This window comes from Homo sapiens, chromosome 8 (assembly GCF_000001405.40).
Source record: "Homo sapiens chromosome 8, GRCh38.p14 Primary Assembly".
NCBI classification, from domain to species: Eukaryota; Metazoa; Chordata; class Mammalia; order Primates; family Hominidae; genus Homo; species Homo sapiens.
Window position 1 is genome coordinate 86178708 of NC_000008.11, and position 26923 is coordinate 86205630.

Below are 26923 nucleotides of genomic sequence, written 5' to 3' on the forward strand. Positions count from 1 at the left end.
CATCTTAATCGTCCAAGATGGTTGCTCAAGATTCATCCCAGAAGGAAAAAGGACAGGCCGAAGAAGAGTGCATCACTACCTTGAAAGACACTTACTCTACATTTTATACAACATTTCTAATTCCAATCCATTGGCAGAATTTAGCCACATGGCCATATCTGACTTCAAAGGAGGCTGGGAAAAATAAATCTTATTCTAGACAGCCATAATTCCAGGTGAGCAATGGGTTCCATTTAATAAGAAAAAAGGGGAAAAAGGATCCTGGGAAGCAATTGGAAGCCTTTGTCACATAGGAGTTAGTGAACAATGACATAAATTGAAGAGAGTTGTTGTAAGAAAAAGACTGAAGAGTGTTTATTGCACTAACTAGTGACAATCTTGGCAAAAGTAGTTTCTTGGAGTAGTGAGAATGTAGGTCAAACTGCAGTAGATGAAGAATTGACTTTAAGATAAAGAAAATGAATATGAGTTGAAAATAAGCTGGGCTGCGAAAAGGAAGGTGAGAAGGAAGACTGTAGTTAGCTCAGCACCTTCATGAGAATAGAGCTCATGGATAAGACTTTGATGGGCCATGTGCAAACTGAAGCAGAGGAAACCAGTCATCATGAAGTTGAGAATGGAGCAACCTGCTTCTCCTGGAAACTTCTTCCAATGTCCTCCCAAAGCAGTTCCACCAACATGGGATAGAAGAATGAGAGATATCATATTTCTTGTTTTTGTTTTTGTTTTGAGATGGAGTCTTGCTCTGTTGCCCAGGCTGAAGTGAAGTGGCACAATCTCAGCTCACTGCAACCTCTGCCTCCCAGGTTCAAGCAATTCTCCTATCTCAGCCTCCTGAGTAGCTGGGACTACAGGTGCCTGCCATCACGCTGGGATAATGTTTGTATTTTTTAGTAGAGAGAGACGGGGTTTTACCATGTTGGCCAGGCTGGTCTCGAGCTCCTGATCTCAAGTGATCCACCTGCCTCACCCTCCCAAAGGGCTGGGATTACAGGCGTGAGCCACTGCGCCCAGTCAAGATATATCATGTTTCTTATATGATCCATTTCCTTGTCAGAATTAATTGGTAGTTAATCTAATCCAAATTGGTCTAAAGAATCCATACCAGTGAACCACCTGAATGAATGAGGAGTGGCTAATGTACTCAAATGAGCCAGTTTCCCCACCATGGGATTTTTAGATTTTATACTGGAGAAATACCAAATCAATTTCATTTCAGTGATTGAAACTATAAACTGTAAAATTCGTTGGCAATCATGTTTTCCATCATGTTTTGAAAAGCAACCTGCAATGAGGAAGACAAATAAAAATATAGAGAAATGCGAAGATGAAAGACTAACAGAAAGAAAAATGAGTGCTAGCACCATTTCGATCCTTACTTACTTCCGATTGTTCCTGAGACCCAGAAACATTATTTCTCTCAAGATCTGAGATAATCAGTATTTCTATAAGAAAATTTCTCTTTCTGCTTAAATAAATTGTAGCTGAGTTTCTGTCATTTACCATTAAAAATGTCTGATTAAAACTGAGAGGAACATGTTTATATGTTTAGAAAAAAGTCAGAAGAAAGGTTGAAGATACAAAAAGACTGAGAATTTGAGAGTATGTATATCCAAGATAGCAATCTTGTTTCTGCTTCCCTCTGAGGTAACAGTCCCTGCCCCAAATCACTATTCTCTTTATGACCTCAATCCCTAGACATAGCTGTTTGAATCATGAGAGGGCACCTGCCTTCCTTCTACATCCTAGATGAACTGGTCTGAGCACGTTCTTCTGTGAGGTTTATAATTGAGATGTGTGGACACTAAGCTCATAAAGAATCAGGGCTAAGACTATGATGGGTCATATGCAAGCTGATGCTGAGGAAGCCCACCATAAGAACGGAGAATGGAGCATTCTGCAGAGAGCAGAGGTGACTGGGCCTCTAAAGGGGTGGGGGTGATCGAGGGAGTAGACACTTTTTGTTTTTTTAATAGAGACAGGGTCTCACTCTGTCACCTAGGCTGGAGTACAGTGGTATGGTATCATAGCTCACTGCAGCCTTGAGCTCCTAGGATCAAGTGATCCTCCCATCTGAGCCTCCTAAGTAGCTAGGACCACAGGCATGTACCATCATGCCCAGATAACTTATTTTATTTTATTTTTGTTTTAGAGACACGGTTTTGCTATGTTGCCCAGGCTAGTCTTGAACTCCTGGCCTTAAATGATCCTCCTGCCTTGGCCTCCCAAAACACTAGGATTACAGGTGTGAGGCCATCATGCCTGGCTCCTGGGAATAGATGCCTTGATTCATGCCAATCTGTACATTGTTCAAGGGTAGGAGCTTTGGAATCACTTAAATCTATCTCTGAGCCCTGGCTCCCCTATCAACTTGTGTGACCTTGAACAAGTTACTTAACCTCTTTAAAACTCATTTTTCTCATCTGTAAAATGAAGCTAATAGTAGTATCGTTCTCACAGGATTGTTAGAATCAAAAGAAAGATGCATGTGAAGTGCAGAGCAGTGTCTCACAGTAAACTCACAGTTAATGCTAATAACATAGCATAATCATATCCAATGCTACATGTAATAATTATAATCAAATACAATGACATAAAAGGTAAGCTCTTTCCAGTTCCAATTCTCATTAATCTCAGATACTGTCTTCATTTCTCAATGAAATCTGCGTATCCTTGAAATATCTTTTCTTTCTATTTGCTCTGGTTAGACTAAGAATTTGTTCTTGACAAACGCAGTGAGAATGTTTGCATCCCAATCCCCAGGGTGAGCTTGGACAAGTTACTTCCTTACCCGACATTCAGCAACATTGCCCCCTCCATCCGTCCTGAGCGCTCTCTTCTCTTGGCTTCTGTGACCAAGAGAAGCCAAGGAGTCTCCTGGCTTTCCTCCTACCCACTGGCCATGGTGTCCCTCTTATCCTGGCTCAGCCTCTTCTGCTTGTCTTTAAATGCTGCATATTCTCAATAATCATTCCTAAGTGTCCTCATTTTTCTCACTTTGTATTTTCTCCCTAGGCTATAATATCGGTGCATGGTATCAATTATCATGTAATTTAAACTTTGACTCCCAAAAGGTTATCTTCAGCCCAAACCTCTCCTAATCTCCAAATCTGCATATCTCACTACCCACTCAACATTTTACCTGGAGATCTGAACGAAAGATTCATCAAAATCTACAAATTCAAAACTGATCTCATGATCTTTTCCTCTAAAACTATTTCTCCCGACCCAAGGGTTTTCTATCTTGATACCACCACCCATCCACTCTTCCAGTTTTGCAAGCCAGAGACCTGTAGACATCATCCTCTGCCTTGCGTCTTAGTCCATCAAGACTTGTTGATTTTACCATCAAATTGTTTCTTGACTTTGTCAACTGCTTATTCTCTATTGCCATCACTCTTATTCTAGCCATCATCATCTTTCTCTTGGACTCTCACACTGTACTCAGAAATTGTCTCATTGCATCCCATTTTAATCCATGCTATAGTCAAAGTTTTATTTTAAAAATAAAAATATGTTCAATGCAATAGCTTTCCATTGCTCTTTAAGATAATAATCAAACTCCTTATGGCATACAAGGATCCTCTGTGATCTAGCCTCTCGGGAAGAAAAGGAGTGCGTTGGATCTGGCTCATACTGGCTGGCACCTGCATGCAGATGGTTAAATATTTTGGAAATTTGCAAGCTGATTGCTGAATCATTGGATGTGGGGAGAGTATGTATCCTGTGGAAACTGGCAAATGCTACAAAGGGTTTTCCCCACACCTCCCCTCTCTCCTCCATGCAGGAGAACCAGTTTAACAGCACTCGGTTCTCTCTCCAGGCTTAACCGTTCTTTCATTCCGTACTTTAACCACATTGACCAACTTTAAGTTTCTCTAACATGTCATAGTTCCTTATATTTAAGAACTATCAAATATATTGGCTGCCTTTCCCAGGAAACTATAAACTCCAAGAAGTCAGTGACTCTCTGTTTGCCCAACATTAAATCCTCAGTGCTTTTCAGTGCCTGGCGCATAGTTGGTGCTAGGTAAGTACCTATTGAATAAGTGCCTGCTCTCACATGGATTTTACAGATCTCAAAACAATGTGATGTCTGTGATAATGCCCTAAAAATGATGAAATAATACATAGATATGATTATGGATATTAAAATGTTTCCTGAACAAATAGATTTTTTCTATTTTTATTAGTTTTTTCTATTTTCCACTTAAGATGGTATCACAATTTATTTTCTAAATGATGAAATGTTTGTTTCTCTAAAGCAGTCATAATTGAATCATGATATTAACATATATTTAACTTGAATTAGATATGACTTTTGTTATAATAAAATTATGTTCCCTAGCAAGAAGACTCAGGCAAAAAAAAATGTTTTTAATTATGTCAGAGTAAATGAGGGTGATATTTTCAATGGAGCCTTTAAAAATTCTTCTTTCCTATTTTAAAATTAGCTTTCCAGAAATGCACACTCTATTCTTTATATGCTGATACAGCTAAAACATAATAGTAAACTATTTTCTCACGAAGAGATTTGTTTAAATTATCAGAACTCTCTTGGAAAACACTTTCAGTAACTTATTTAACTTGAATTCTAATGAAGTGAAAATTGCATCATCATCATAATTATTAAGATTATATCCACTGGCAAAATTTTCCATTTATATGGAAAAAATATGTTCATTGTTATATTGGTATTTTTAACCATTCATACATTTTTCATTCTTCTCTCTTCTCCTCCAGTGAATATTTTTTTGGTCTCTACGGTACTCAAGGCAAATTATATTTAGTTTAACATGTGAACTAATTAGTAAAGGCAATACTTTTTGCAAATATCATATTTTACTTGGTATATCTATTTCTCCCACATTATTGCATCTTAATTTGGGGATACTAAAATTCTCCACCATGGGATAATATAGGCTAAGAGTTGCTACTATTTTCCATAATTAGTGGTTGTTGTTTTTTAATTTTTATACAAGGTGTGATTTAGTAGATATGTTTTAGATTGACTTTGAGGATCTAGTCAATCTCCCATGGTTTCAAGTCCAAATTATCTCCATATTAGGCATAACAGAAACAAAGATGCTACATAGAATAATCAGACTAAGTGGTCAACTCTCAGTTCATGAGTTGGCCTCTCCCACTGGTTTTCTTATTCTTGTATCTGGATGTCTTCCAGTGATGCAATGTTCCTTGCTTGTAAAATTGCACATTTATGCATCACCTTATTAAATTTGCTTGTGTGTCTATCATTCTGAAAGTGCTTCTTGTTCTTTAGTGAAGCATTGTTCTAGTTATGTGTTGTCTTTTCCTGTCAGTACACACTATTTGTTGTAATTAGTCTCTGGCTTCAAGTCTATACAAAATGAGCAGACATTTGCACAGTCTTTCAGTTGCATCTGATCATTGTGGACAATAAGCCAATGATTTAGACAAAAAATAACCTCATTCTTTTCCTTTATAAAAGAAATAGTTTGTACTTTTTGCTTGGATCTTATTTGTACTTCATCTGTCCTCATGTTTGTCTAGATAGATTTACCTTATATAAACATTTTTCTCTTTTATTTATTTATTTATTTTGAGACAGGGTCTCACTCTGTCACCCAGGCTGGAGTGCAGTGGCACAATCTCGGCTCACTGAAACCTCTGCCTCCTGGGTTCAAGCAATCCTCCTGCCTTAGCCTCCCGAGTAGCTGGGATTACAGGCATGCACCACCATGCCCAGCTAATTTTTGTGTTTTCAGTAGAGACGGGGTTTCACCATGTTGTCCAGGCTGGTCTCGAACTCCTGATCTCAGGTGATTCACTTGCCTCAGCCTCCCAAACTTCTGGGATTACAGGTGTGAGCCACTGTGCCTGGCCTCCACCTTTTATTTTTAAACCAAGCATTATAATATAAATACCAGTAACGTTGTTCTGTTCAAAATTTAGTATTTTTCCTTTTTATGTGACTTACAATTTGTACATCTTATTAGACTTTCTCCCTCAAGCTCATGCACTACACCAGGCAGAGAAATTCATGAAGATATGCATTTAGGTAATGGCCCTCAAAAAACAAAACTGGCTTAATGTAAAATCGTTGTTGTTGTTTTTTTTTTCTTTAATCTTCCCCAACTTAAATCTTTTAATTTAAAAGTAAACTTTACTGTCGAAAACGCAAACTTGGGGATGGCAGAAAGATCACACACAAGGCTGCCACTTCACACCTGGAGGGTTGCACGGCAGCCAGGCAGAGGCGCTCCTCACTTCCCAGTTGGTGCAGCAGCTGGGCAGAGGTGCTCCTCACAATGATTTTTTTTTTTTAATTATCATTAGGTACATGGTTCATGTTTGTAATCCCAGCACTTTGGGAAACTGAGGCAGGAGTATCACTTGAGCCAAGGATTTCAAGAACAGCCTGGGAAACACGACAAGACCTTGTCTTCACAAAAATTAAAAAATTAGCCAGGCATGATGACATGCACCTGTAGTCCTAGATGCTCAGGAGGCTGAGGGGAGAGGATTGCTTGAACCTAGGAGGTTGAGGCTTCAGAGAGCCATGATTGCACCACTGTACTCCAGCCTGGGTGATAGAGTGAGACCCTCATCTCTAAAAAAATTTAAAAATTAATAAATAAATAATACATTTTCAAATACTATGTCCAACACACCTCTGGCATTTACTCCACTCTTGCTTTCTCCAATATTCCCTAAGCCCCTCAGATTAGGCCAAATCTCTTCATTAAATGCTCTTATAATACAATTTTCTTTTCTTCTTTTTTGAGACGGAGTCTCACCCTGTCACACAGGTTAGAGTGCAGTGGCGCGATCTTGACTCACTGCAACCTCCACCTCCCAGGTTCATGTGATTCTCCTGCCTCAGCCTCCTGAGTAGCTGAGATTACAGGTGTGCACCACCATACCCGGCTACATTTTGTATCTTTAGTAGAGATGGGATTTCATCATGTTGGCCAGGCTGGTCTTGAACTCCTGGCCTCAAGCAGTCCACCCGCCTCAGCCTCCTAAAGTGTGGGCTCATGTCAGCATGAGCCACCGAACCTGGCCCTTACATATGTAACTTTTAACTCAGTTTGTAATTATATATTTATTTTGAGATCAGTTGATTACTAAGTTTCCCTGTAGACTGTAAGCTCAAGGAAGGCAAAGCTTGCATTAATTAAGGTACAGGCTAAAGTGCTTTAACAAATAGAACTCCAAATAATGTCACTTATACAAGCTGCACATATATAATTTTTTCATATAACCTTCTAGCTGATGGGATTGCTCTGCTGCCCTCAATATGTAGCTTCCATCTCTCAGTCAAGCTGCCAAGTTCTTGCTACCTCTTTGTCAATAAGAAGAGGAAAAGGATGAGAGGTGCATAAGTTGAATACTTTAAAAGCTGAGCTCTCTAAAGTAGCAAACACTGCTTCCACTCATTACATTAGCCACAACTTGGTCACATGAGTACACCTAATAGCAAAAGAACCTGCACACTGTAGGCTTTAGCTGGCAATTATCAATACTAGGGAAGGAGAGGAAATTAAATATAGGGAGACAGGCCAAACACGGTGGTTCATGCTTGTAATACCAGCATTTTGGGAGGCTGAGCCAGGCAAATCACCTGAGGTCAGGAGTTCGAGACCAGCCTGGCCAACATGGTGGAGGTTGCAGTGAGCCGAGATTGCACCACTGCACTCCAGCCTGGGTGACAGGGTGAGACCCTGTCTCAAAAAATAAATACATAATATAAATACAGGGAGACAACTAGCTGTCTGCCACAGATCTGTGTCTTATTCATGAACACAGTGTCTCTGGAGCCTACCACAGTGCCTGCTCCAGAGCACCTGCTCAACAAATACTCATAAGATGGATTGATGAATGGACCTCACATCTTCACGCCATCACTGACATCACCCATACCTTATTCTCACCCCTTCCCTCTCCTCTACCCAAGGCAGCTGTGGATCCAGGAGACCAGGAGACCCAGGAGATTTCCAGAAGCATGAGAGTAACTGTATGTACAGGTTACAAAGTGGCTTTCTTGCAAGGGTGAAGCTGGTGAGGTTGACTGGTATCTGTGCTATGAGAATCTTTATGGGTTTTTTTTGTTTTTGTTTCTGTTTTTTATTTTTTTTTCTTTTTTTGAGATGGAATTTTGCACTTATTGCCCAGGCTGGAGTGCAATGGTGCGATCTCGGCTCACTGCAACCTCCACCTCCAGGGTTCAAGCGATTCTCCTGCCTCAGCCACCCAAGTAGCTGGGATTACAGGCATGTACCACCATGCCCGGCTAATTTTGTATTTTTAGTAGAGACGGGGTTTCTCCATGTTGGTCAGGCTGGTCTCGAACTCCCAACCTCAGGTAATCCACCTGCCTCAGCCTCCCAAAGTGCTGGGATTACAGGCGTGAGCCACCGTGTCCGGCTGAGAATCTTTAATTCCTGAAATGAAGTGAAGACTTTTCAGAAGATATCCAGGTGGGTGGGTTTTCCAGGTCCAGTCATCTTTGCCACATCATCCACCACTCTAAGTTGAAAGTGTGGCAGTTTCCTCTTCTAGTTGAACAGAGAGGTTGTTGAAATGGAAACACACACATACCACACACATCTCCAAAAACCCAACATTAATTCTGAGTGATGGTCCTGTGCAAATTCAGAAAAAGAGAAAAAAATTTCGTTTTTCACAACTGAGCTACACTTCTCATTATCGATGAAAACAGATGGGAAATAGGACAATGACTCTTCAAGGAAAATGTAATTGCGACTGTCTCTATGCCCACCTAGCACTTTCCATAGCACTTTTCATGTGGTATTATAGTTAATGACATTGTGAGATATTTGTGAACTGAAAGCATATCTTGTTTTTATTTATATTTTCCCAAGCACTGAGTAGCACATATTAGTACTCAACAAAAGTCTGTTGAATGAATCAGTGAATGAATGGAGAATTAATGAATAAGTTAATGAATCTCCTGGGTTATTGTGTTAAAAATGTAACTGCAGGAATAAAAGGTGACTAGAAGAATAAAACTTCCGCCTCCCTCCTCTTGAAAGAAACTGATCTCAGCAACTTGGCAGGGCCTTTGGGAAGAAAAGGTGTTGGCCATTGTAAGAAATATTTGGAAACAAGGGAAGAAGACAAAACTATTTTTTTGCTTAGCCTAAAAAATGTGAAATAGTAATTCAGTTATGGAAGAAAAAGACATTTCCCAACTTCCTTTTAGAACTGGAATTCACTGTCTCTCAGGATTAACATATAGCTTTGGAAGGTGGTGTGTGTGTGTTTTGTGTGTGTGTGTGTGTGTATGTGTGTGTGTATGTGTATGTTTTGTCTGTGTGTATTGTGTGTGTTTTGTTTGTATGTGTGTGTGTTTTGTGTGGTGTGTGTGTGTGTGTTTTGTGTGTTCCTTACTGCACAGTTGGAGGAATAAAGTGCCCTTCCTTCCACTTACAGTGTTCCCACAGGTTTAATTCTCCTGGGGAACTCATGCCCACCCTGGATATTGCCAAGCTATCTGGGGAGTGTCAGCACAGGTTATGGACTGCCCTGTTGACAGGGTCTTTGGCTCTGTCACTGCCCCCCACCACAAGAACATTACTTCAAAAGCAAGGACTCTTGAGTTAGGAAAATATACTTCTGTGGAAGAGAATAGCATGGAAACAGATCTCAATCTCTCTGGCTAAGAGGCATCATCTCTGTCTTAGCCCACGTGGGCTGCTTGTAACAAAATACCATAGACTGGGTGGCTTATAAACAACAGAAATGCATTTCTCACAGTTCTGGAGGCTGGGAAATCTGAGATCAAAGCACCAGCAATTCAGTGCCTTGTGAGGGCCTGTTTCTCATTGTATCCTCACATGGTGGAAGTGCCAAGGGGTCTCTCTTGGGCCTCTTTTATAAGGGCACTAATCCTATTTACGAGGGCTCTGTCCTCATGATGTAATCACCCCTCAAAGTCCTTGCCCCCCAGTGCCATCACCTTGTGTGCATAGACATCAACATATGAATTTGGGAATGGGGAACATAAACATGCAGAACATAATGTTTCCCAAAACAGTTTCCCAAAAGGAGGGTAGAAATCTGCAGAGCAGAAGTCAGAAACATGACACATGGGGTGGAAGAAGCCAGGTTAGGAACAAGAATGAGCTCAAGAGGAGTTCCTTTATGAATGTTGTAGCTTCTTGGGTGCTGTCCCTATGGCAGAGTTCCCCCATCTTTTGGGCACCAGGGATTGGTTTTGTGGAAGACAATTTTTTCAGGGACTAGGGTCGGGGTTGATAGTTTCAGGATGATTCAAGTGCATTATGTTTATTGTGCACTTTATTTCTATTATTATTACATTGTAATATATAATGAAATAATTATACAACTCACCATAATGTGGAATCAATGGGAGCCTTGAGCTTGTTTTCCTGCAACTAGATGGTCCCATATGTGGGTGAGGGTAGACAGTGACTGTGCTAGTCCATTCTCATGCTGCTAAGAAGAAATACCCAAGACTGGGCAATTTATTAAGAAAAGAGTTTAATTAACTCACAGTTCCACAGGGCTGGGGAGGCATCAGGAAACTTACAATCATGGTGGAAGGGGAAGCAAACACATCCTTCTTCACATGGGCAGGAAGGAAAAGTGCCAGGCAGAGGGGAAAAAGCCCCTTATAAAACCATCAGATCTCATGAGAACTCACTCACTGTTACGAGAACAGCATGGGGGTAACCACTGCCATGATTCAATTGCCTTCCACTTGATCCCTCCCACAACACGTGGGGATTACGGGAACTACAGTTCAAGATGAGATTTGGGTGGGGACATAGCCAAATCATATCATTCTGCCCGTGGCCTCTCCCAAATCACATGTTCTCACATTTCAAAACAGAATCATGCCTTTCCAACAGTCCCCCAAAGTCTTAGCTCATTCAAGCATTAACCCAAAAGTCCAAGTCCAAAGTCTCATCTAAAACAAGGCAAGTCCCTTCTGCCTATGAGCCTGTAAAATCAAAAGCAAGTTAGTTACTTTCTAGATAGAATGGGGTTACAGGCATTGGGTAAATACATTTCAGATGGGAGAAATTGGCCAAACAAAGGGTCTACAGGCCCCATGCAAGTCTGAAATCCAATAGGGCAGCCATTAAACCTTTCAAAATGCTCCTTTGACTCTATATCTTACATGCAAGTCACACTGATGGAATAGGAAGGCTCTGAAAGCCTTGGGCAGCTCTGCTCCTGTGGGTTTGCAGGGTACAGCCCTGCTCCTGGCTGCTTTCACAGGCTGGTATTGCATGTCTGCAGCTTTTCCAGTGCAAGCTTGCACAGTGCAAGCTGCTGGTGGATCTATCATTCTGGGGTCTGGAGGATGGTGGCCCTCTTGTCACAGCTCCACTAGGCAGTGCCCCAGTGGGGACTCTGTGTGGGGGCTCCAACTCCACATTTCCTTTCTACATTGCTCTAGCGGAGGTTCTCCATGAGGGCTCTGCTCCTTTGGCAAACTTCTGCCTGGACATCCAGGCATTTCCATACATCCTCTGAAATCTAGGTGGCGGTTCCACAACCTCAATTCTTGACTTCTGTGCACCTACAGTCCCAACACCAGGTGTAAGTCACCAAGGACTGGGGCTTGCATCCTCTGAAGCAACAGCCTGAACTGTACCTTGGCCCCTTTTAGCCACAGCTGGAGTTGAAGTAGCTGGGATGCAGGACACTATGTTCCAAGGCTGCATAGATTGGGGGTGCCTTGGGCTCAGCCCATGAAACAACTTTTTTCTCCTAGGCCTCCAGGCATGTAATGGAAGGGGCTGCCGTGAAGGTCTCTGACATTTTCCCTGTCATCTTGGTGATTAACATCCCACTCCTTACTACTTATGCAAATTTCTGCAGCAGGCTTGAATTTCTTCCCAGAAAATTGGTTTTTCTTTTCTATCACATCGTCAGGCTGCAAATTTTCAAAACTTTTATGCTTTGCTTCCTCTTGAATGATTTGCCACTTAGAAATTTAGGGTATCTCCACCAGATACCCTAAATCATCTCCCTCAAGTTCAAAGTTCCACAGATGTCTGGTGCAGGGGCAAAATGCCACCAGTCTCTTTGCTAAAGCATAGCAAGAATCACTTTTGCTCCAATTCCCAACAGGTTCCTCATCTCCATCTGAGACCACCTCAGCCTGGACTTTATTGTCCATATCACCATCAGTATTTTGGTCAAACAAAGTCAACAAGTCTCTAGGAAGTTCCAAACTTTCCCACATCTTGTCTTCTGAGCCCTCCAAGTCTCTAGCAAGTTCCAAACTTTCCTACATTTTTTATCTTCTTCTGAGCCCTCCAAACTGTTGCAACCTTTTCCTGTTACACAACTTCAAAGTCGTTTCCACATTTTTGGGTATCTTTATAGCAGCACCCCATTCTCTGAGGTACCAATTTACTGTATTACTCTGTTCTCACATTGCTATGAAGAAATACCTGAGACTGGATAATTTATAAAGAAAAGAGGTTTAATTGACTCACGGTTCCTCATGGCTGGGGAGGTCTTAGGAAACTTACAATCATGGCAGAAGGGCAAGCAAACACGTCCTTCTTCATACGGTGGAATGAAGGAGAAGTGCCAAGCAAAAGGGAAAACGTCTTTTATAAAACTATCAGATCTCATGAGAACTCACTCACTATCATGAGAACAGCAAGGAGGTAGTCACCCCCATCATTCAGTTACCTCCTACAGGATCCCTGTAGGATCCTGGGGATTATGGGAACTACAATTCAAGATGATATTTGGGTGGGGACACAGGCAAACCATATCAGTGACAGATCATCAAGCATTAGATTCTCATAAGGAGCACACAACCTAGATCCCTTGTGTGCAAAATTTACAACAGGGTTCACGCTCCTATGAGAATCTAATGCTGCCATTGATCTGACAGGAGGTGAAACTCAGGCAGTAATGCAAGCCACAGGGAGCAACCATAAACACAGATGAAGCTTCACTCTCTTACCTGCTGCTTACCTCCTGCTGTGTGGCCCAGTTCCTAACAGGCCACAAATCTGTACCTGTGGACCCCTGCCCTATGAACTTGGGAACAGTCACATTTGAAGTATATTTGATATCACTCTTGAATTACACTGAACAATGTAATAAAGTTTGAGGAAACTGTTCTGTATACTGCAATGGCGGGTGGCGGTACAGGAGAGTGGGCCTTTACTTCATTAACCTTGTCTACCTTGGTGCCCCTGGATAGGAGCTTATAGCTTTTTACCAGGCTTGCAATTGAGCCAGAGTAGGGCAGGTGTGCTCTGAGGGGACCACTCTCACACAGAGGGGAGTCAAGATTTCAAATGGAAAATAGCAGCTCCCTTCCCCAAAAGACAGATAATTTTTTTCTGACCTACTCCTTAGTTGAATCTCTTTGGGTTAACTTGACAAAGAGTTAATAGACACCAGAATCCTTAAAAGAATCATATCTGTAGTTAATCTTGTCTTTCATATTCCCATTTATAAAGAGTTTGCCTATAAGTAAGAGGCCAGAAAGCCTACAGATATTATGTAACTTAAGTCTGTCATTGTTATCTGAGTGGTTCCAGTGATTCATGGGACCATTGGTGGGAATGAAGGTGGCATAATAAGACTGTATTTAAAGAACATAGTACCTTAAGTACATGAAATAGTTTTATAACTGAGTCCTTATTAAATAGGATTTATCTCATAAGCTTAATGTTAGTTAGGTAACTATTGAAAAAGTGTATACAATGCTTTTATAACATATTGTTTCCAATATAAACAGATTATAACCTGTTCTCAATTTGAATGTATCATCTCCAATCTGAACACAATAACTCAAAGCTAAAATAGCCGTTCAGCTGTTTATATGGACATGCTTTTATATATAATTTTTATGTTTAATATGTGACTGCTGATTTCTCTGTTAAATCTTCCAGAAATTATCCACCCTTTTCCATGGTTTACAATAATTCCAGATTTCCTATTTAAATAGCATCCACCCAGCAAGCACTCAAGAATTACATATTAATGACGGCCATGTTAGCAGTAATGTAGAATGTAAGGTGGACTAAATTAAACATTTTTTAAAACCATCCATCATGCATTAGATTTTTTTCCCATGACAGAATTTCAGTGGCAATGATGAAATCTCAGGGTTTTCGCAGGGAAATTTGCCCCTGATTTTGTCTGCATCTCCCTTCCTTTTGCACCACATCTCCTCCCAGGGATTCCTCCAGTAAGCATCAATATTTGGCCCTAGCACCCTGCCTGCCACTCCTCAGCTGCTGTTGGGAGTGGAACAGCCACCTACAGCAGTCACCTCAGGACTCCTCTTCCTCCCAACAGACCCTGTGCGGGAGTGCCTCTCCAATCTCCTCCAACATCCATGAGAAACAGCTTCCAAGACTCTTGCTGTAGAGGTGACATGTGGCCCTAGTTCTTTGGAATGTTCTCTGGCCCTTGAAGTGATTAGGAAGATAAATTAATGCAGTGCCAACACTGATTACAATGAGAGGAATGCAAACCAAGTTGCCCACGGAAATTGCCATTTTACTACCTGACCTGGTCTGCACGTCCGTCAATCATTTGGCAAAAAGTCAGTTGCGAGAAGTTTCCTGGACCAGAAACCAGTTAATCTGAATTTTCCTCTGAAAGCCTAAAGTCAGTAACCTTGGACTGTCTTTTAATGAATTAATTAAGAATATTCATTAATTAAGTAATTTTAGCTGGACTAATTATAGAGATTAGTTTGGTCCTACATAGGCACAAAACTGACCTGGTTTCTTTAGTGTCTTTAAGCTCAACTGAAACTGCATCATGTACATTCTACGTTGATTCATAGCCTTTCCTTCAGGTACCAGGAAAGCATCTCTGTGTAGATATGATTTATCACGGTAAATGGGCCATGATGCTGCAGCTTCCTACTTATTAGATTATTTTCCATTTCCACTCTCAGAATACATTTCAAGTCCTGAAAAGTTCTTCCTGGCAAATAGTAGGCATATAAATATTCCTTGAATGAAAAAATAATCTTAGTTTCCTTTTCAATTTATAAGACAAAAATTTTCAATAAACTTCTCATGTATTATTTTATGTGTCCGTTTTCCAAAACGTGTACTATTTGTTAATGAAATCCCTATAATAGTACTACCTGTCAAAACAAATAATACACAATTTGGAAAACCTACACATAGTACTACCTATCAATATGTATACACATACATATATACATATTACATATATATATATATATAAAACATGTTATATATATATATATATATATAACAATTTTTACTAAAGAGACAGGTCTCATTACATTGCCCAGGCTACTCTCAAATTCCTGGGCTCAAGTGATCCTCCCACAATGGCTTCCCAAATTGCTGGGACACAGGTGTGAGCCACCACACCCAGCCTATTAAAGGATTTCTATTGTCAAATGCTTTTTAGAAGGTTTAGATAAAATATAGTTAAGATTAGTTTACTCCCATTCTGTAGGTTGCCTGTTCACTCTGATGGTAGTTTCTTCTGCTAGGCAGGAGCTTTTTAGTTTAATTAGATCCCATTTGTCTATTTTGGCTTTTGTTGCCATTGCTTTTGGTGTTTTAGTCATGAAGTCCTTGCCCATGCCTATGTCCTGAATGGTATTGCCTAGGTTTTCTTCTAGGGTTTTTATGGTTTCAAGTCTAACATTTAAGTCTTTAATCCATCTTGAATTAATTTTTGTATAAGGTGTAGGGAAGGGATCCAGTTTCAGCTTTCTACATATGGCTAGCCAGTTTTCCCAGCACCATTTATTAAATAGGGAATCCTTTCACCATTTCTTGTTTTTGTCGGGTTTGTCAAAGATCAGATGGTTGTAGATGTGTGGTATTATTTCCGAGGGCTCTATCTGTTCCATTGGTCTATATCTGTTTTGGTACCAGTACCATGCTGTTTTGGTTACTGTAGCTTTGTAGTATAGTTTGAAGTCAGGTAGGGTGATGCCTCCAGCTTTGTTCTTTTGGCTTAGGATTGTCTTGGCAATGTGGGCTCTTTTTTGGTTCCATATGAACTTTAAAATAGTTTTTTCCAACACACCAGGGCTTGTCGTGGGGTGGGGGGAGCAGGGAGGGATAGCATTAAGAGAAGATATACCTATTGTAAATGACGAGTTAACAGGTGCAGCACACCAACATGGCACATGTATACATATGTAACAAGCCTGCACGTTGTGCACATGTACCCTAGAATTTAAAGTATAATAAAAAAAAGATTAGTTTACTTACTGAATCATTTGGGAGAACTAAGTTGTTTGAGGTACTAACAATCAAAATAACATATTTTGGGAATGCCCAGAGCATAATTTATTTCATTCCCTAAAAATTTGTGTTATGTTTTATTAATCATTAAAATTAAATATGTCTTGGGTAAGCTAATTAAAATTAGGTGAGTTGGGTTTGCCTACTCCCCGGAACTAGAAGAGTTCCTAAATAGTAATACTAAAATTGCTCTTAAGTTAAAGACCTGACAAGCTTAGAATTCATTAAATGGCCTAAAATTTAGTAGAAAATGTAACAAATGTACTTGTAGGAGTTACCTAATTGTGACTTTTTTTCATATTTCTAGTTTGTTTTATATTTTCTAAATAACAGTAATAATACTTATTCAGTGGTATATTGTTTTTCCAGTATAAGATTCACATTCTTGGCATTTTATGATAAATGAAGATGGGTAATATAAGGAAAATTTGTCACTGACTTGGAGATGGCCAGCAGAGACTACTTGGCATCCTTTCAGTGGAATCCTGGGAGTTAGCAGAAAGATCCTCTGGAATTATGTAATTCTATAGGGATGTGACCTTTGATACTTTCAGGTTGTCTATGCTTTTGGCAAATCTGTGAGGATAGAAGTTAAGTTGTAGAAAACTGATAACAATGTAAATCATTCCTGTTCATGATGATGTAAATTAATTTTGTCCCATAAGGAAAATAAATCTCTATAAGTCACATTTGAACCTGTTTTAGCATCATACTAGTTCTCTCACTAATTAATGACATAATCTTTGATACAAGTTTATTTTACATTTGTATAAGAGTCATGATTTTACCATTTTGAAACTTACACTTTAACAATAAAATATGTTCCTGCCTCTTAGAAGTCTGTAATCTGAAATGAGGAAATACATATGCATCATATCTATAATACATATCAAAATTTGTTAAATTCTCTGTAGGAACTTGAGAGTTCATTAGAGAGAAGACTCCTACTGTTTAGAGAACAGAGATTTCAAGGAAGGATTAAGGCTGGCATCCTGATAGCAAAGGTGGAGACAAAGGAAAGCATTCCAGGTGATAATATTATACACAAATAGACTGAAATGAAGAAGTGAATTGAATGTTGAAGGAACAATTAATCAGTTTAGTTAGTTTAGTCAGAACGTATACCGGGAAGTTGTAAAATTTAAGGCCAGAAATGAGGAGATGGCTGTTTATCAGAAGAAGAGATAGGAAAAGGAGGAGCAATTATTTCTCTTGGGCACTTCCTCTAAAACCGTTATTTTAGTTTTGAAGTTAACATGGCCACATGATGATTTTTAAGGCTATAATAAAAATATATTAGAGAAAGAAATATGAAGCAGCAGCTTGAGACACTTAAAAGTCAATGATCAGTGCCGTTTTTATACACAACATGCCCCTACCACCACTCTTGATTCCTCCCCACGGACAGTGCATCTCTCCCTCCATCTGGCCCAGGCAGTCTCTACCTGATGGGAGACTTTGACTATCTCTAGGTGAAAGGTAATGGGATGGTGGAAATAGTATGAGTGTTGATCCAGACAGATTTGGGCTCAACTCTTGGCGCTGCCACTTACTAACTCAGACTTACCTAGGTGACATCCCACACAGTCAGAATAGGCATGTCTCAGCCATGACTTACATGAAAGACTTAGGAAATTTAAGTGCATAGTGGTGCCAAAACAGTAAACAAAACTAGATTATTTAGAACAAGGGAAGTGATAGTTCTGCTCTGCCCTGCCATAGTCTGGAAAGACTGCATTGTTTATAACATTAAAAATTAAGAAACTTTTGCATTAAAATGGGCCTGGCCAAGGGTGGAGGGTCTTCTTATGGAAAGTAGTTGTATCTAGGTCATATGGCCCTGACATTGGCTTTGGGGGTGGGAAGGTTTGGGTATAAGGTGGCTGGGGAAGGAGAAGATGGGTAGGGAATTCAGTGTTCTTACAGAAAAAAAGAAAAAAAAAGAGTCTCAGGTACCTAGTATTGCATTGGCCCCTGGAGATGGTGAGGAGTTTCTGTGACTTCACACAGGAAATTTCAAGCAATGTTCGAGACTCCCTATCAAGATCTCAGTGATAATCCAAATAACACAGACTTAGGGAGGAGGGGAGCATTTTAACCTCTATTCTAGTTATATGAGAATATGGAGTTGGCCAAGTATTTGTCACAGAAGAATGGATAAACAAAATGTGATATATACACACAATAGAATATTATTCAGTCTTAAAAAGGAAGGAAATGTAGATACAAGCTACAACATGGATGAACCTTGAAGACATTATGCTAAATAAAATAAGCCAGTCACAAAAGAACAGATGTTATGATCCCACTTATTTGAGGTACCTGGAGTAGTCAAATTCATAGAGACACAAATTAGAATGGTGGTTGCCAGGAAACAGCAGCAAGGGGGGATGGGAATTAAGTGTTTAAAGAGTACGGAGTTTCACTGGGGGAAAATGAATAAATTCTGGAGATGGATGGAGGTGATGGTTGCACAACAATGTGAAATATACTTAATGCAGCCGGGCACGGTGGCTTATGCCTGTAATCCCAGCACTTTGGGAGGCCAAGGCGGGCAGATCACTTGAGGTCAGGAGTTCAAGACTGGCCTGGCCAATATGGTGAAACTCCGTCTCTACTAAAAATACAAAAATTAGCCAGGCGAGATGGAGTCTCGCTCTGTTGCCCAGGTTGGTGTGCAGTGGTGCAATCACAGCTCCCTGCAACCTTGACTGCCTGGACTCAAGAAATCCTCCCACTTCAACCTCCTGAGTACCTGGGATCACAGGTGTACACCATTACCCGTCGCTAAAAATGATGGACATTTTAAAGATTAGAATGATATGTGAATATTGTGGAAGAACTTTAAATGCTGCTCTAATCTTAGTGAGATAACACATTGTAGTATTTTGAACAGGAGAATGACATGTTCGTAGCTCTTAGCCAGGAGCATGTAATCCCAGCTACTCGGGAGGCTGAGGCAGGAGAATCTCTTGAACCCGGAAGGTGGCAGTTGCAGTGAGCCAAGATTGCACCACTGCACTCCAGCCTGGGTGACAGAGTAAGACTCTGTCTCAAAAAAAAAAAAAAAGAAAAAAAGAAAAAAATGAAATATATTCAATGCTACAGAACTGTATACTTAAAAATTGTTAAAATGTTAAATTTTATGTTATGTGTATTTCATCACAATTAAAATTATATACATGCAATTTAACTACCCAGGTCTTCCGGGTGTCTTCAAATGAATATTTCCTATGTCAACAGATTGTCCTGCATTGACCCTCTCTTATGTTCCTTATCCTCTTATCACCTCTCCGGAAAGTTTCAACTTTCCCCATCATGTTTTCCTCATCCCTTCCCCAATCTGGACACTTCCATTCCCCCAGCAGCTAGAATTCTTAAGCTTTCTTTAGTATCTGAAATATTGCTTGCTCCTAGCATAAGGTTTGGTGTTTTGCTCCCAGCATAAGGTTTGGTGGGTTTTTTTTGTTGTTGTTGCTTATTTGTATTGTTTTGTTTTGTTGGTTTTTTTGATGGAGTCTCACTCTCACCCAGGCTGGAGTGCAGTAGCACGATCTTGGCTCACTGCAACCTCCACCTCCCGGGTTCAAGTGATTCTCAGCCTCAGCCTCCTGAGTAGCTGGGATTACACACATGTGCAACCACGCCCAGCTAGTTTTTGTAGTTTTAGTAGAGACGGGGTTTCACCATGTTGGCCAAGCTGGTCTCGAACTCCTGACCTCAAGGATCCACCCACCTCAGCCTCCCAAAGTGCTGGGATTACAGGCATGAGCCACCACGCCCCACCTCCTAGCATAAGTTTTGAATCATAGTCTTTCTCCCCTTTCCCTGTGTTCACTGAAGGGTGAGAAAGAAGAAGAAGATTCAAGTCTCAGGGAGGAGAAGAGGAAGATCATTTTCCAATGTGGGTTGGAGTTTGGGTGTTTAGTTTGTTTTTCTTTGGTTATCCTTAAGAATATAAAACCAGTCAGATAGCCTCCCTCCATGAATCTACATAAGAGATTCATATCTCCACTAGTAGCATAACTTCGGGTACTTAAGTAAAATAATAGCTATCTTCTTCTCTCCTTGGTTGTATTTCAAAACCCTCTTCCACTGAGTTAGCATGGGAGGGCTCCATGACCACCAGCACCTTCTCAATAGCTAGAATGCACCCACCGTCCACCCCTGTCCCACCCTGTCTCAAGGTGTGAGAAACAGCTGATAGAGTCTTACCACATTGGCCTAGTAATGAGAAATAAAGCTAATACAGGTGAAGCCTCTAACAGTTCCTAACACAGATGCTTAAAAAATGATGGACATTTTAATTTTTTTTTAATAGAGATGGAGTCTGGCTCTGTTGCCCAGGTTGGTGTGCAGTGGTGCTATCACAGCTCCCTGCAACCTTGACTTCCTGGACTCAAGAAATCCTCCCACTTCAACCTCCTGAGTAGCTGGGATCACAGGTGTACACCATTATCCGTGGCTAAAAATGATGGACATTTTAAAAATCAGAATGATATGTGAATATTGTGGAAGAACTTTAAATGCTGCTCTAATCTTAGTGAGATAACACATTGTAAGATTTTGAACAGAAGAATGACATGTTCATAGCTATGGTTCAGGAAGATGAAACTAGCACCAATGAGAAAGATGGATTGGAAAAGAATGCAATTAAATGCAGGATGAATAATTAGGAAGATATTGCAGTAACTGCTAGAAAAAGATATTAAGGACTTTTCTAGAAAAGCAAATGTGGCAATAGAAAGGAGAGGATCAGTGCAAGAAACCTGTCAAGGTAGAACAAATGGAATTTAGATCACCAACTGACTGAGGGAGAGGGAAGAAGAGAAAGCTCAAACGTGACTGTCACCTATGAGTCTACACTGCTAGGAATATATTGGCCACTAGCTGAGAGGTGAAAGTCTACACTGCTAGGAATATATTGGCCACCAGCTGAGAGGTGAAAGTAGAGGAGATTTGGTAGAAAAGATGTTCAATTTTGTACATGCTGAGTTTGAAATTCCAGTGAAACACTTCAGTGCACCAGCTCAAGCAGGCAGGTGAAAATGTCAGGGTTCAGTTCGGTAACAACTGTATTTATACTGTATTGAAAGAATCACTTCATGGAGATTAGATCAACCAACATAAAACTTAGGGACATGTTGACATTTTATTCTCTCCATCAGATAACTTTCAAAAGAAACTCAAACATTCGGAAATCATTTTCACTACCAAGAAAGGAAGTTAAGAAAAATAGTTATTTCCAAGGTAAGAGGAAAATATAAATTATAAATAAATCCCTGAAGGTCTTGCCTTTAGAAACTGTATAGAAAATATGCTTTTACTGACCTCTAAGCCAGAAAATGCTTTTATCTGTGTAGTATGCTAATTATATTTCTGTGTCTGAAGATTGGTTTCTATTTCCTTTGCTTCTTCATGTAGTTTTAAAAGGCTTTCTTTTCTTTCTGATTTTTCTATATTCTAAAATGTACCCTTTCAAAATACGACAATAATACGCAGCTTAGCAATTTCCTTTAATATGTACAATCAACTTTTTCACATGTAGCTGACTGTATCTTATCCTTGTTTGAAATATTGAAAAGATGTGATAGAAAATTGGCAAGAGACAGTGAGAGAGGGAAGAGGTTGTGAGGCAGGCGAGGCAGGCAGGTTATTTCTGCACTGTCTCAGACACATAATTTGGCAAAAAGCTCTGATTCTAATAATCAGCATTATCATTTTCATTCAGTTTTACTGAAAATTTTCCAGTAATTTTTTGAGGAGCCTTGATACTTGTAGGATAAAAGATAATTCTCTCCTAAAACATCAGAAATTATTTCATCCATTCTATCTTGTTATAAAAATAAGAATCAGTAAGGCATGGATGTCTGAGATTGAATGGCTGACTTGCTCATTTTATAGTCACCTGATTTGGAGTAGCATCTGAGATAATCTATAGAGATATTGTCTCTGTGCAATAGCTATTTTGTACAGCACATATAATAATGATACCCACTAACATTTCCTGAGCCCTTACAATAGGCTAACAATTGCTACATATAATTTTATTTGAGCCTCACAGCAATCCTAGGAGGATGAAGGATTGTCACAGACAACTCCATCGTCACTGGGACCCTGCAAACGAAAGCTCCATCTCCAGTGCAGAGAGTGATAATTGTCATTCTCAAACTTTTCATATACCCAAATTTAGAAACACTTTGACTGGATATCCTCTCCGACTGGAGTTTGAGCCTTCATTTTACTACTTTCATCAGAACTGGAAATTTCTTCAATGCAGTCAGGTTCTACCCAAACCAGCCACCCTTTCTCTTCCATCATGACTGATTCATGAATTTGTGAATGAACGTGTGCCTTCATCAAACCACAAGCTGAGTCTTCCACTGAACTTGAAGCCTATTCATCCCTTGGGACTCAACAAGAGCCATTTTTTCAGCTCAGATCCAAGGTAAAGAAAGCATATGGCACTGTCTCATTAGTGGCTTTTTTCTCTCAACCACATATGTGCCCATAATCTTTCAATAGCTTTCCAGAAGAACAACCAAAGAAAATAGAGCATTAATTCTTCGATGGCATTGGCTTTTTAAAACCATAGCTTTAAGATTCAGCCTTTGGGCTCATAAACTATTTAGAAATAAATCATTTACTTCTTTCCAGAAAACTTTACACAAATTTAATAAATGGTTTAAGTCACTTTCTTTATATTGACCTGAGGTAACTTGGATTCTGTTGAATCAGCATCAAAAACATCACGAAATTTTAGCTCTTGCCTTTTAAATGCTGATTTCTACAGAACTTGGAATCAGGCTTTTAAAAAATTCCAAAACAAGAATGGGCTTTGAGTTCAGATGTGACGTCAAGAGGTATGTGAGCCAGAAGTTTTCAATAAAAAGCACAATGCATGTTTCCTGTGAACAACAGAAAATCGTATTATTTTTCAATGTTATGTATTTCTTTTAAAAATACAAACTGTTGTGATAAGATTGGGACCAACAGATGATGAAATTCTAGTTAGAATTCTGCTTGGTGCCCAGAATGAGCCCATCAGTTCAGAAAAGAAAGAGAATTAATTATAGAGGCCACAGGCTTCTATGAGGAACACCTTGTTCTGTAGAAACCTTTCCAGCACATTTCATTTGTTTTACTGAGTCTTGTTTATGGCAAAATGCTATACATGTATTATATAAATTGAAACGTGATGCTACACAAGCATGTGAGATTCCCAGATAAAATCCTAGAGAGAGTGAGAGACAAGGTCTGCCTTTAATACAACTCAGAGAGATTTCCCATGAGGGGCTCCAGGATAATTTTCCACAGTACAATGCGCTACTTTATCAGTAGTAAGTGACACTACACAATGCCCTATGCAGGGTTTATATTTTGCTACTTTTCATGCTATCCTGTTTTCCAGAGGAACTGTATCTATTATGTTTTCCACAGAATTTATTTGGATACCATGCTACTGTTTCTTCAAGCTATTTAAAGTAATCAAGTTACTTGAAACTGTTGACACTTATTAGTTCATTCACTTACCCATCTATTCTTTTATGTATTCATTTAGTAAAAATGTATTGCATAGCTACTATGTTTACTTGTTTTTAAAATTTTATGGAGTACTTACTATGTGCCAGATTGGGCATGAAAAATAAGCTGTGTATGTATCTAATTTGCATATACTCATTAGGCCAAATCATGGGTGTTATGAAGACAGTTATTAAAATCTTAAAAATAGAAGTCTTAATTTAAAATAATTGTTAACTACCATTTCTTTAGCGTGCCAGACACTGAGAAAAACACTTTTTCTCTCCTTTTTAAATTTTTCCTTTTTTAAGACAGAGTCTTGCTTTGTCACCCAGGCTGCGGTCACAGCTTACTGCAGCCTTGACCTCCCAGGCTCAAGTGATCCTCCTGCCTCAGCCTCCTGAGTAGCTAGGTCTACCAGCATGTGCAACCATACCTAGTTTTTTTTTTTTTTTTTTTTTTTTTTTTTTTAGAGACGGGGTTTCCCAAGTTGCCCAGGCTGGTCGTGAGCTCAAACAATCCGCCCACCTCAGCCAAAGTGCTGGGGTTACAGGTGTGAGCCACTGCACCCCACCCTTTTTTTCATTTTTAACATGCTATCTCATTTAGTTTTCATTTTAAAAAAACCCTAAGTGCTAGATATTAACTCTAATTCGTAGAGGATAAAACAGGTTTAAAGACATTGACTAGCTGGGTGTGGTAGTGCTTGCCTATAGTCCCAGTCACTCAGTAGGCTGAGGCCATCAGAGTTCGAGTCCGGCCTGGGCAACATAGCAAGATCCCATTGCAAAAACAAACAAATAAACAAACACAAAACTATTTTTGGCTTGAAATAGAAAAGTTGAGCAACGGTGTCTTAAACCATAGCCATATTTAATTAAGTTACGTAATAAAAAGTCTGTAAGCAGGCAGTTTCAGAATTAGTTAAGTTTGCAGCAAAACAATATGTTGGCCCTGTCTGTTTGTCCCTGGTTCTCCTAACTTTCACCTCAGGGTCACGAGGTGACCAGCATGGCTTCAAGTATCACATCTTTACATGACAAAATCCAAGAAAGGAAAGAATAGAGAACTTTTTTGGATTTTTGTCTTTTAATAGGGGAGGACAGTCTTTCTTATAAACTCACATTAGACTCCTCTTTACATTTTACTGGCAAAAACTGGGTCCCATGCCTACACCAATCACAGGCAAGGAGCCTAGGGTTACAGTGATTGGCTAAGATCATTTATGATACATCTCCTTAAGATAGGAGTGATTTTGCCTTTTATTTGTATAAAATCAATTTTCTCTTATCAAAGGAGAAAGAGGCAAACAATAGGGTCTCCCTCATCCACTAAAGTGCTCGTAGCTGCCATGTGATAAAGAATTTTCTTGCTTGCTATGGACAGCCTTCTTCCATAATACTTTAACTCAGAAATTATTATATTTTTGTTTTAGAACAATTTGGATCACTGAGACAGAGATTTATAAATCAAGTCTCTTTCAACATTTTTCCTTTAAACTTTATTGAGAGTAGTTAGTATTGTCAATCCAGATTTCTTGACTGGCATTTTATTTGTTAAAAAAAATTTGCAACATTTTAAACATTCTTAAATTATTCAAACTTTTTAAACATCCACATTAAGACAGTAGATTGAAGAAACATCTATTTTAGCCACCCTTCTGGAATCCCACAAAAATGGTAATAAAGGAACTTTTAAAATAAATAACCTCACAAAGAAGAGAGCAACAAAATATTGGAAACTAGAAAGTGAATGGATAAAAGGTAACTGATTAAGCAGTCTCAAGACAGTGGATCCTTAAACTAAAAATAAGACAAACTGAGAAACAGCTGATTTATACCACACAATGCTCAAATGCATTATACACCTCGATATTAGGCATACCTGGGGAAGGCAGAGAGGTTGCAATATTTAAGAAGGATTGGGGGCCAGGTACAGTGGCTAACGCGCCTGTAATCCCACAACTTTGGGAGGCCAAGGCAGGCAGATCACTTTGAGCTCAGGCTCAAGACCAGCCTGGGCAACATAGCAAACCCCGTCTCTACAGTGGTGGTTTGTGCCTGTAGCCCCAGCTACATGGGGGCCTATGTGTACTGATTGCTAAATGCCAAGACTGCCCTCTCTAGCCGCATTCCTCAGCCCAGCTCCCAGCAGCCAGCAGTCAGAGCCTTGTCCTTCAGGGAGAAGATTAGAAAGCTTCTCTGGGCTGCATGACCAGCCAAGATAAAAGATTTACAGATACTGACTTTGGGGGTTCCTTAGCAATCGGCCCACCCAGATCGCCATAGAGTCCGTTTTAAAGTCCATAAGCCTAATGCATACATTCAGAGTTTCTCATCAACTTTTTAGTCCCTTACTAGTACTCATGAGAGGATCACTAAGGATTACAAAACAGCTGAGGAAAGCCTCTAATCCAACATGGAAAACAGAAGCACAGCAGTTTAAAAGCACATTGGCAGAAACAGAGACCAGGCATTTTTAAACACTGAAAAAAAAATTTTTCTCCTCAAAGAAAAGGGAAGATATTGTATCCAAGAGCCAAAAATAACATGCTGTTACAAAGTAATACAAACAAGACCTTGGAAATTAAAAGTATAATTAAAATGGGAGAGAAGGGAGCCATGAGGAAATCTCCAGACAGTAAGAGAAAAAGGAAAGAAGGAAGGAAGGAAGGAAGGGAGGGAAGGAGGGAGGGAGGGAGATGGTTTGGATGTTTTGTCCCCTTCAAATCTCAGGTTAAAATGTGATTCCCAATGTGGAGGTGGGTGCCTGGTGGGAGGTGTTAGGGTCGGGGGGCAAATACCTCATGAATGCTTGATAGTGTCCTCGCAGTAATGAGTTCTCTCTCTGTGAGTTCACACGAGATCTGGTTGTTTAAAAGAGCCTGACGTTTCCTCCTCGAGCTCTTGCCATGTGATGCTCTTATTTCCCTTTCACCTTCTACCATGATTGGAAGCTTCCTGAAGCCCTCACCAGAAGCAGATGCTGACATCACACTTTCTATACAGCCTGCTGCACCATAAGCCAAAATACAACTCTTTTCTTATAAATTATTCAGCCTCAGGTATTCCTGTATAGCAATGCAAATTGACTAATACAGGAAGGAAGGAAGGAGGGGAGGGAAGGGAAAGGAGAAG

At 39.8% G+C, this 26923-nt stretch overlaps 1 long non-coding RNA gene across 1 annotated transcript in view; it reads left to right on the forward strand.

Annotated features, from left to right (window-relative positions):
- Positions 1–1760: 1760 nt before the first annotated feature.
- Positions 1761–26923, forward strand: part of LOC105375623 (uncharacterized) — a 31769-nt gene continuing 6606 nt past the window's right edge. The window contains exons 1-4 of the long non-coding RNA NR_188044.1: positions 1761–1912; positions 7940–7999; positions 17180–17294; positions 21434–21515. This is a non-coding gene — a long non-coding RNA (uncharacterized LOC105375623). The remainder of the gene's footprint in view (positions 1913–7939; positions 8000–17179; positions 17295–21433; positions 21516–26923) is intronic.